Genomic DNA, 12,355 nt, shown 5'->3' on the forward strand with positions numbered 1-12,355 from the left:
ATTCTCTCTTTTTTTCCTGGATGACTCATTTACAAGATTGGATGGAAATAGGTTTTAGTTCAGCATACTGTTTGCTCTAACTGGCTTTAACAGTGAGGCCCGATGTCAAATGCTCTCAGCTAAGCCAGGGAATTCTTTTGCCTTGAGTCTCGTATCCAGACGTTATGGTTTGCAGCTGCTACAGTTTTCTTTAGGATGCTAAATGATGTGTTAGCCTGAGAGAATGTTTCCTTTCCTGCTGCCCTTTTTATTTTTCCTTTTGTTCCTCCCTCTTCATTTCCGCAGTTTTCTAATTCGGAGCTTGTTTTGTTCACCTCTCTTTGCAGACTTTGGTTTGAGCAACTGCGCAGGGATCCTGGGTTACTCGGATCCGTTCAGCACACAGTGTGGCAGCCCTGCCTACGCTGCACCTGAACTGCTCGCCAGGAAGAAATACGGCCCCAAAATCGATGTCTGGTCCATGTGAGTTATCAAGCTTCTGAAAGTCAGTGTTCCTCCTGCTGTCTCCACCGTGCCTTCCTTATGAAATCATGCCTGAGTATTGGATGGCATGTATAGGTGACAGGCCCAGGAGTATGTCATCAGGGATTCTTTGGGGCCTGGCTTTCCATCTCTGTTCCTTCTGTTTTTTTCTGCACAAACTGTCAGAGTGGCCTTTACCAAAATTCACTGCGGTGCTGAGAAGAGAAGAAAACCACGTCCTGCCCTCACAGAGCTCACATTCTGGCTCTGCGACTCATTTATGCCCCATCCTCCTGCCCTTAGCTTCCCATCGCCCTCTGTGTGAAGCTCCATCCTGCTGCCTGGCCTGTGCTCCTTGCGGGACTTGCTCGCCCATCTCTCCTACCCCCTGTCCTGCTCACAGTTCTTCAGACATATTGACCTCCCTTTTGTCGCTCCCACCTCTGGGCTTGTTTTTTTTTGAGGCAGAGTCTTTCTCTGTCGCCCAGGCTAGAGTGCAGTCGTGTGATCTCAGCTCACTGCAACCTCCCCTTCCCAGGTTCAAGTGATTACCCTGCCTCAGCCTCCCAAGTAGCTGAGATTACAGGCATGCACCACCATGCCCAGCTAATTTTTGTATTTTTAGTGGAGACGAAGTTTCACCATGTTGGCCAGGCTGGTCTCAAACTCCTGACCTCAGGTGAACCACCCGCCTCGGCCTCCCAAAGTGCTGGCATTACCGGCATGAGCCACGCGCCCGGCCGTTCACTGGTGATGCCTGGAATGTCCTTTCCCAGCTCTTTGGATGGCCTGCGGATTCCCACATCCCATTCTCAAGCCAGTGGCACCTGCACATTCCCACATCCCATTCTCAAGCCAGTGGCGCCTGCGCATTCCCACATCCCAGGCTCAAGCCAGTGGCGCCTGCGCATTCCCATATCCCAGTCTCAAACCAGTGGCGCCTATGCATTCCCACAGCCCATTCTCAAGCCATTGGCGCCTGCGCATTCCCACATCCCAGGCTCAAGCCAGTGGCGCCTGCGCATTCCCACATCCCAGTCTCAAGCCAGTGGCGCCTGCGCATTCCCACATCCCAGTCTCAAGCCAGTGGCGCCTGCGCATTCCCACATCCCGGGCTCAAGCCAGTGGCGCCTGCGCATTCCCACATCCCGGTCTCAAGCCAGTGGCGCCTGCGCATTCCCACATCCCAGTCTCAAGCCAGTGGCGCCTGCGCATTCCCACATCCCATTCTCAAGCCAATGGCGTCACTGCCGAGATCATTTCTGAGCTCCCTGCCAGGGAGTCCCCCGTACTCTGTCCTCACCCTTTTAATTTCGTTCTCGGCACCTCTCAATGCCTGTCCTTTTCCTGTTTTAAATCCATTCCTCTCCTGTCTCCCCAGCCAGCAAGGACTCTGCACGAAGGGAGGGAATTGGTTGGTCTGGTTCACCATTTTGTTCCCAGGGTCTGGTACAGGAAGGGCCACCAGGGGTAAGCACAATAAATATTTGGAGGATGAATCCTCAGTTGCACCAAAGGTAGAGCCTGGGTCCCCCATGGTCACAGTGAGTCACCCCCTCCACCATCCCCTGTCAGTGATGGTACAGGGTCAGTTCAGAGTCTTGGATTCTTGGATAGGACTCAATCCTTTGCCATAGGGAAATGGGCTGTAGAGAGAGTGAGGTTCTGATTAAGATATAGACGAGAAAGACTCGTTTGCGTGAAGGGTGTGTTGATCCGGAGTATTTCTGGAATTCCCCTGCATCTCTTCATATTCACTGTAACCCCCTTGTCCAGGTTGGCAGAAAAGCTAACGCTTACTTAGTGCTTGATGTGTGCCAGACACCATGTCACTTAGTTTCACAATGACCCAGTGCAATCATTACTCTCTATTACCCTATTTTATGGAAGAAGAAACCCATCATAAGAGAAATGAATAAAATCGCCCAAGGTCATAGAGCTGCTAAGTGGTAGAGTGGGATTTGAACCAAGCAGTGTCCTTTCAGGGTCTCAAGATACAGCCCCAGCTCTCCAACGTGGCGTGTGGGGACCCTTGCTTGCCCTGTGGCCTCGCTGAAGGCATGCCCGCTCCCCTCCTCTCCCCATCCATTCTCTGGCTAACCTGGCATTGTTTCCTATTCCCTGAACACAGCCTGCTCCTGCTACATTCCAGCCCTTACATGCACAGTTCCTTCGGCCTGGAACCCTCTCTTTTTCCCTCTTGTGTTGTTGGGTGCAGGTTCCTCTGGGCAGCCCTCTGTGTCTCCAGCTGGCTGGCTTTGAGGCCCTCCCATGTACCCTCCAGTGCCTGGCTATCTGTGTTCCTGGGCCTCACCGTGAGGTCTCAGTCCACCTGCTGGAACCCTCTGGGCTGTAGCTGAGGGGGCAGGGACCACTTGGCTCACTCCCAGGATTTCCTCAGCACCTGGTGGAACTTGGAGGAAGGGAGGGAGGAGAAAAAGGAGGTGGGAAGGAGGAGAGAGGAAGGAGAAAGGAAAGGAAGGACGGAGGGAGGGAGGAAGGAAGAGAAAAGGGAAAGAGGGACAGGAGGAAGGAGCAGGCATTTCATCCAGGGAAACAGAAGCTGGAAGGTCAGGGCTGAAGCTGGCTGAGAAAGCAAGCAGAGGAATGTGGGTCAGCTCAAGGCTCTAGAAGCGAGATGAGCTCAGGATGTTCCGGTTGGAGATTGAGAAGAAACAGACCAGAATGAGATGTGGAGAGATAAAGAATTCCTGGAACTTTCCCAGAAGGGGCCGACTCTTCTGGAACCCTGGCTAAGAGGACCTGCTTGTCAGCGAGGAGGTGAAACACGTCAGGAATCAGCTGCTGCTCCTGAGCGGGCTGGGTGCCCTGGTTAGTCACCCCTGAACCTCAGGACAGTCCTGTGAGACACATCTCTTGCCCCCAGTTTGCACGGATAGAAGAGAGTGGTGAGCACTGCCTAGAGGCACACACGAGCCCGAATGTAGTGGAGCCACACTTTGCTGAAGGCTGGGCTCCCAGTTACTTTGCAGGTGTGGTCTGGTGTGCAGGCTGCATATGGGGTGTGTGTGGTGTGCTGATGACGGGCCCAGGTGGGCTGGGGTCATGTGGAGCTAGTGGAATGGAGCAGGGAGCAGCAGAGGATGCCTTCTCTTCTAGGGCATTGCTAGTCATAGACTTCACTTCTGAGAAGGCCTCTGAATCCCCCTCAACACAGCCCCTCCCGGCAGCTAATGCCAGTGGATCAGAGTTGTATATGGGAGGAAATCCATTATGGATTTCTTCCAACCCTTAAGAACTCTCAAAGGTGTCTGGCACACTGTCTTCCCTCAATAAATATGTATTGAGTGGATGAATATGAATATGTGGGTCTATAATCACTTTCTTAACAGTTAGAGAAGTCATTTATGCTAAATGGGAAGCTATGAGAGGAAGAATTTGTGCACACACACACACACACACGCACACAAAAGCACAAAAGGCTATGGGAGCCTGAAAGACCAAGAGGTCCCCTGTCTTAGTCTGTCTTTTGTTGCTGCAAGGGAATACCTGAGGCTGGGTCATTCATAAGGAAAAGAGCTCTATTTGGCTCATGGTTCTGCAGGCTGTACAAGAAGCATGGTGGCAGCATCGGCTTCTGGTGAGGCCCCAGGCCGCTTCCACTCATGGTGGGAGGTGCGGGGGACCAGTGTGTGCAGAGATCACATGGTGGGAGAGGAAGCAAGAGAGAGGGGAGGTGCCAGGCTCTTTGTAATGATCAGCATGTATTGACTCATCCTATCTGCCTAACAACCCTTCAAGGTAGTGCTGTATTACTCCCAATTTAAAGGTGTGGAAACTGAGGCATGAAAGACCTCAGCCACTTGCCCCCATGACACAGCCAGCGTGTGACAGAGCCACGATTTGACCTACGTGGTTTGCCCTAGGCCCCTGAATCACCACCCTCTACTGCATCTGTGATGTTGTACTTCCTCTGGTGGGGTTTACATGCTAGTGGGACAAACAGCTGGTATTTTAAAATGCTATAAACTGAGTGTGGTAATGGCTGTGGAGGAAGTGAGAGGGATTCAGGGAACAAGATGGAGTGGCCTCTTGAGGAGATGACTTCAAAGCCAGATCCTAAGAATGAGAAGGAACCAGCTATGGGAAGAGGAAGGTGTCAGGGAAGAAGGCCAGGAAAGGTCAAAAGTAAACTGGTGAGAAAAAAAACCAGATTCTTTTGTTATGGCAACCCTAGCACATATGGCTGCACAGCTGGGTTAAGTCAGGAAGGCATCTGTAGTCAAGTATGATCTGTTCCTCAAAGATGAGTGGAGACGGCCAGGTGGAGAACAGGTGGGGAAACGTTCCAGGCAGAGGGAACAGCATATGCAAAAGGCTGGTAGGTGTGACACATCTGATTTCTCTTCCTCTTAATTTTGGCGAAAACATAAAACTTCAGCACCTTTTAAGAGATGAATTTCCTACTGCTTTGGGGTCTGAGCAAACTTTCTATCTGTCTAAACTTGGGGTCTGATTTTGTGTCTGAGATACAAGTTAGGTTTCTGTTTGGTGCCCATGACTTTGCTGGCAGAAGTGGAAATGGAAAACCAAAATTGAATTTAATGTAGAAGGCTGTTTAAAATGAGAGTGAAAATGGAACCGATTTTCTTGCTGGGTTAGACACTGTTATTATAAAATGGCTTCTCTCTTTATGGCTCAGAAACAAAAACAGAATGAAGAGTTCACTTCCAAAAAAGCAAACTCCCCTCCCTGGAGGCTTTGGACCTGATGGATGGCAGAGACTTTATCCACAACTTCTGAGATAGATTTAGGAAGAAAATCAGCCTGTCATTGAAAGAAACCTTGGGAAAGAAAGCTCTTCCCTACAAATAGGGCCCCCAGGACCCTCCGCTAGTGAAGCCATAATTAACAATGGAAATGGGAAATGGCGCGCTTTCTTGGGGGTTTGTATTTCTTGGGGGTTTTCCATTATTTTCAATGGTGGTTATTTTCAAGACCGTAAAGAATAGCTGTAAAATAATTCACTTCTTTCCTTTACCCCAGATTATATGTATAAATATATATATATATATAAAAATAACATATAGATGTGTGTGTCTCCAATGAACTTTGAGGTTTCAGACACAAAAACCAAAAATATTCATTCTGGTGCATTGAACTTTTATTACTGTGAATTGACTTTTCCTCAGAGTGACATATATGCTAATTTATAACAACTTTAATGCAGATGTGCTTTTTAATTGAAAAGAATCAAAATTAACTTTATCTTCAGAATATTACAATACTCATGTGCAACCTTCAGTGAATCCCTACTGGTAAGGAAAACAGAAATTGAGAGTTCTATACCGAGAAGATTGAGAATGCAACGTTGTTGGACTAAAGCTGTCCTTTGCTCTCATGGGGGTCCCTGGGATGGATGGGTGAAGTATTTGCGTGAGGGCCTGGTGCCTCCTGGAGAGTCACACACAACACACTCAGTCCACCTTCCTAGCTCAGTGAATCTGTTTTCACATAGTGGAAAAAAAAATCCCTGTCTCCAGTGCTGTACCTGTGGGTGGACAACTCGGCCAAGAGGCACCATGTCTCCAAATAGCTCTCCTGTCTCCATATAGAACTGGGTGTTCAGGAGGGAGAGTGAGAGAATTTGTTCTAGGCCTCAGACTCAGTGTTTTGTAAAAGTACTACCAGATATCATCAGCTACTGGCAGGGGTCAAATACAGAAGGATGGTATTAGTGTTTTCTCTGTGTTGAGACCCTCTCAAAATGAAGGCTAGCAGGAGGCAGTGGGAAGAGTAAAGCTATGACTCCTTTGGGGAACCTTAGGCCTTTTGACTTTTGAGAGAGAGGTTTCCCTTAGCTTCTGAGATTATTCAGTTATAAAGTACGAGATTTTTTTTTTATAGCTAGCATGTATATTTAACATAGAGTAAAGGAAGGAAGGAAAGGAAAAGAAACAACCATTTTGAAATCCGCAAGAAAATAATTTCTTGCTAAACATAGACCATTTAATGGAACAGTGGTGAGATCTGAGATTTTCCAAATGGATGAATTGGTTCCTAGTCTACTTTCTTTTTTTTTTTTCCTAGTCTACTTTCAAGGCCTTAAATTGGAAGTTATATTATTAAAAGTTGATACTGAAAGATGGAAAGATATTGCTTTCAGGTGGAAGTTATTTTTAATTTTTCCAAGGCATTTCCTTTCTTGGAGAGCCACACAGAAGCAAGGTGCATCTCCCGAAGGTCCTCTTGGCTGCACTCTGTGTAAACTGGGCAGTTTCCGAGGCTCCTGTCCACATGCCCCTTAAGAACGAGTAATCAGACCTTCCCTCCACCTGCCGGGGTGGCTCTGTCCATTGCTTTGTCCCTTGCATCTTGTTAAAATTGCCAGCGACTTCTCCAGGGAGCAGTGACTCCATGTCTTTCCTCTTTGGGATGGCAGGTGATACCACAACTTTTCCTCCAGGGAGTATTTTTTTTTGTGTACCAGACTAAATATCAGGATGGCCATTTGGCTTTTGACTTAACTCCAAGCTTTCCCGTTTGTATTTCATAAGTAAGGGCCCTTTTCCTCTTCTTTCAGCTGCCGCCCCCACCCCCCACCCAGTGTCTGCCTTTCTTCCTCTTTTGAGATCAGAGTATTCTATGCTGCCTAGTATCTTTGGGTTTTCTTCTGTCCTGCGATAGCTCATCCTTATTTCATTCTGCTGGAAAAACCCCTGGTCGTATTTGATTGTTGCCCTCTCTTGTCCCAGTCTCTCATCCCTCTCATTTGTTAAGACTGTCTTTGATTCTTGGGAATCCCATGTCTGCCACGGAGAATCCAGAAAGCCCCTGGGCCATATTTCAAAAGACCCATCAGGAAATTCTGAACATGTTTTGAAACTCCTACTAATTCTATGGGATTACAGAGGTTTATAAACTGCATTCCACATTTTTCCCTTGGTATCCTCACATACTTCTGAAATGTCAGATGGACTAGGTTTCTCTTTATCCAGATATTAAACATGTATGGAAACTCCGGGGGAGAGGAATTAAGATGCTTAATCTGGTTTCCCTTTTTAAAATCTCCTAGCTAGGAGTGTTTGACTGTTCACATAGGTTTCCATTCTTTTTTTTTTTTTTTTGGGATGGAGTTTCGCTCTTGTTGCCCAGGCAATGGCGCAATCTCTGCTTACCACAACCTCCAACTCCCGGGTTCAAGAGATTCTCCTGCCTCAGCCTCCAAAGTAGCTGGGAATATAGGCATGCACCGCCAAGCCCAGCTCATTATGTATTTTTAGTAGAGATGGGGTTTCTCCATGTTGGTCAGGCTGGTGTCGAACTTCTGACCTCTGGTGATCCGCCCACCTCAGCCTCCTGAAATGCTGGGATTACAGGCGTGAGCCACTGTGCCCGGCCAGGTTTCCACTCTTATTTGGCAATACAGTACAAATAAAACTGTAGCTTTTTCCCTCTTATTTTAAGAAAGGTTTTTTGATGAAACAATAGATCACAATTTATCAAGCTTAATTTATTCCAACTACAGAATTCAGGTCTTTCTGTGGCTTAGTTGATGTGAGCCTCATACGATCTGAGAGGTAGGTACTATTATTATCCACATCTTATGGATGAGAGACCCTAGGATGAGAGAGGTGGGTCCTCTTTAAGGATTTGTGACAATTTTTTTTTTCATTGATGATAAATTCCTCCAAAAGAAATGGAATTCTGGAATCAGTTTGTAAAGTCATCAATTAAAGTTACTACAAAAACTGCTTGCTCAACCCTGACCAGACCTGCCACCTGGATGGCTCTGGCGCCATCTTGAAGACAAGCATCTGTTAATCTTATCTGTGGTCCCAGCCAGATGATGGAGAGAGGCAAAGACCAGTGTAATATGCAGTGACTTGAGGAGATTTTTGGCGTCTGTTGAAGCCAGTTGGTGACAAGAAGGCAAGCAGTTTGGTGTCTCAGGGTCTCCTTCAAGAAAGAAACATTCATAAAGGCTTTAGAGTTGCTCCTCTGGCCTCATATGGTCTCCAAACCCCTTTAGTGGGGTTGTCCTCCCATTATCATGATGTCCTACTTCCTAGAGGCATCTGCACTATACGACACCCCCACCTGGGACAGGAAGCTAGGTGTGCCGTAAAGATTAAAGGGAATATAAAAGGTCGTAGAGCAGTGGTCTGCACATTTGAGTATTATACACTGTGTTTTTAAAGGAAGAACGTTCTCGATAACTGTGTGTGTTGACGTGAGTTATTTTTATTTAAATGTTAGTTATAAGTACATGAGCCCCAAATCAAACTCCTTTTATTTATGGCCCTGTACAACTGAAAAACCAAAACTCATTTACAGGTTAAATAGAACCAAGAGTAAAAGAACCCCAGAATATTCAAATTAGCAACGTTAATGCAATGGCTAATGTTTTGTGGGAAGGGAATGGCTGTACACAGCATGAGTGCAGTTCTCACTGCTGGGCACAGGTTCTTTGAGCTTGTCAGGCCCATCTTGTGATGCCACACCTCCCCTAAAACTTTTCATTCTTCCAGGGCTTTCCAATTTTTTGAGTACGCATCAGAAGCACCTGGAGGGCTTGCAAAAACACTGCAGAGTTTCTGATTCCGGAGATGTGCAGTGGCATCCAGGAATGTGCGTTTTCTTTCTTTTTCTTTTCTTTTTTTTTAAGAGTCAGGGTCTTGCTCTGTTGCCCAAGCTGGAGTGCAGTGGCACACTTACATCTCACTGCAGCCCCAACCTCCTGGGCTCAAGTGATCCTCACACCTCAGCCCCCCAAGTAGTTGGGACTTACAGGCGCATGCCACCATGCCTGGCTAATTTTGGTATTTTTTGTAGAAATGGGGTCTCACCATGTTGCCCGCCCAGGCTGATCTCGAACTCCTGAGCTCAAGAGAGCCACCCGCCTCAGCCTCCCAAATTGCTGGAATTACAGGTGTGAGCCATTGCGCCTGGCTGAATGTGCATTTTCAACAAGTTCTCAGGTAGTGCTGATGCCACTGGTCTGAGGACGAACCACACGCTATTCCAGTCACCAGGAGACTTTCCACTGACAGAAGCACAGATGCATCACTGACACATTAAGTCCACCTCTGCTTCCTTCTCATTAGGCTATGACAATAAAAGTGATTTTTTTTTTTTTGGCAAAAATAGTGCATTGATAAAGAAATACCAAAGCAGGGCCGGGCGCGGTGCTCACGCCTGTAATCCCAGCACTTTGGGAGACCGAGACGGGTGGATCACGAGGTCAGGAGATCGAGACCATCCTGGCTAACACAGTGAAACCCCGTCTCTACGAAAAAAAAAAAAAAAATAGCCAGGCCTGGTGGCAGGCGCCTGTAGTCCCAGCTACTCGGGAGGCTGAGGCAGGAGAATGGCGTGAACCCGGGAGGCAGAGCTTGCAGTGAGCCGAGATCGCGCCACTCTACTCCAGCCTGGGCGATGGAGCGAGACTCCGTCTCAAAAAAGAAAAAGAAATACCAAGGCAGACACTGAAATTGGGTGTGTGTGGTGGAAGGTGTTCTTAGTTATATGGTGGTCATCCAATGCCTCTGGTTATGCTTTGTGAAATGTTTTAGTCAATTACCAAAAAGAAAATAAAAATTAGAACTGTTGCACCCGTGAGGATGTGTCTGTGTACCTCAGTTTGAGAAACACTGAATGAGTTAGGCATTATGAAGCACTTACTGCGGAAAAAAATGATATTGTATAAGTAGCAGGCTCTTCAGCTTTAGGTGTGAATGTTAGAGCCAAGATTAGGCACTCAGAGGTGGTGAGCAGGGACAGAATCTTGGTTTTGTTTTTTCCTCCCCTTAACTCAATTCACTCCAACTCTGTTGAAATATGAGGTCTTTGCTATGTAGCATGGAAACATTGAAGCTCATTAACTGCATGAACCTGCTGGTGTATATTCAGGGCAGAGGACTGGGTTGTTGAGGAGACTCTCAATCATGTCAAATAAAGCACAGGCAAAAGACCTGAGGTCCCAGCCTGGGGAAGACCCAGAAAGGTGGGAAGATCCTGGTTCCAGTTTTCAAAGATGTGAAGTGCTGATCATGGAAGAGCAACTGGTCTTGTTCCACAACCAATGAATAGAAGATGTAGACATTGGCTTAGCCTTGGAAAGCTTTATTTTTGCATAGAATCGCCCTGGATGGAACAGGCTGGCTCAGAAGCATTGGGAACAGCTTGTCTCAGAGGCTGTTCAGTGGTCCCCAGCAACAACTTTGTGGGATGTGCCAGAAGGTTTCCATCCATAAAAGCGATGTGTCCAAGTCCTCTTTGTATGCAAAACTCTACAATTTTGGGACCCTTTTAGCATTCCTTCTTACCGATCTCCAAGAATTTTTCGAAGCAAGAGTGTTTAGCTCTACCTCAAACATACTCAAAGTGCAGCATCGCATAGTACGTTCTCAAATATATCACTAGCCCTGATACTCCTTCCCTGCACCCCTAACCTGTCTCTCCTCCTCAGCCTCCTCAGTACCATTCTGTTACCACCATTGGTCCTGCATTCTGAGTTTGCCACCTGGCACGTGCCCTTCAAATGTCTCCACTGCGTCTTTGCCTTTCCCTTTCTGTTGCGTGCCATCATTCCGATTCCGATTTTAACAGCAACCTGCTGATTTCCTGCCATAGTTTCCTACTTTCCATTCTGAGCCCCTTTAATCCACTTATACAATATAACTACTCCCTGAATTATTTGGTCATACCACTTGTATCTGCCGAACCCCTATTCCTCCCCTGGGGTACGTTTTCCACTAAACACACACAGGGAAATGCCACCCAAATAGCTCTATGTGTGCCTTGTTCATTCTTGTTTCCATTTCTTTGTTTATGCACTTTTTATCTCTCCATCCATACAACCAGCCAGCCAAAGACACATGAGCTCACACACATGCAGTCACTACCTGTGTGGCATGTTCCCTCTTCATGTACCTGTTTCTAAGTTCTCAGTCTCCCTTCATTGCACTCCTCTTGTGGTCAAAAGTGGTGCAATTCAGCATTTTCTTATTCCTTTTGCACTCATCACCGCTTGAAAGGACTGTGCTCATCTATTTGTTTGCACGTTGCTTGCCTGTCTTCTTCCCCACTCAAAACCCAAGAGGGCAGGTCTTTCTCTGGTCCCCAGTACCCAGCACCTATAGTCTTGCCTGGGGCAGAGAGCCATCCAGCAAGTATTTGTGGAATGGATGTTTATGCATCTGTCCCCCTAACTCCACTGTGAGTTTGGAACTAACTCCACTGTGAGTGGGAACCAGGTCTTACTATATGTCTGAAATTTGCGAATGATTTCTAGTGGGAGCGGTGGGCTCCAGTACCTGTCATTATCTGAAATGCCATAATTCAGAGGTGCCTCTGTGGAATTGGGCCTCGAGGGTCTTAATTTCAATCAGTCTCATTGGATTTGTTTTGACTAGAAATCTTAGTGCCTGTTTTTAAAGTATATTCCCTTGGGCGCTTTTGAACACTTGAGACCTCTTGGTAGGCAGGCATTTCATCCTCATCAGGAAATCTCATCAAAATGATATTAGATTTACACATCAGGAAAATAAAGATCCTCTAAGAAGATGTTTCTATTCTGTAGATTGGCTTTGGATAGGTGCAGTTAAGCTTACTCAGAAGGTATTTCAACCACATCTGAGATGTTGGGTTGGGGCCAGGTGGCAGAATCTCACAATAAACAATAAAAAAATCAGGGCAGGAAGGAAGGGGACCTCCCCAGAAATTTCTGTAGTTACAAGCCAAGGCAAAATTTAAGAGTAGAGCAAAACGCCAGGTTTTGTTATGAGGCTTCGTTTCTGAGGGCTGAGTGGTAACCTGGCTCACAGTTTGGCTGTGACTGGAGCTTCCACTGTAGGGGGCTTTTCCTGTATTGTTTGGTCAGCCTTTTCCAGGTACCACCTTGTAAGCCATCCTTGGAAAACCACATAAT

The 12,355-nt window shown here is 46.9% G+C and overlaps 1 protein-coding gene across 2 annotated transcripts in view; it reads left to right on the forward strand.

Annotated features, from left to right (window-relative positions):
* Nucleotides 1–12,355, forward strand: part of HUNK (hormonally up-regulated Neu-associated kinase) — a 131,045-nt gene that overhangs the window by 72,690 nt on the left and 46,000 nt on the right. For both annotated transcript variants that reach the window (NM_014586.2, XM_011529537.3), the window contains exon 4: nt 327–462. In NM_014586.2, coding sequence (NP_055401.1) covers nt 327–462 — 136 coding nt within the window. The remainder of the gene's footprint in view (nt 1–326; nt 463–12,355) is intronic.

This window comes from Homo sapiens, chromosome 21, assembly GCF_000001405.40.
Source record: "Homo sapiens chromosome 21, GRCh38.p14 Primary Assembly".
NCBI classification, from domain to species: domain Eukaryota; kingdom Metazoa; phylum Chordata; class Mammalia; order Primates; family Hominidae; genus Homo; species Homo sapiens.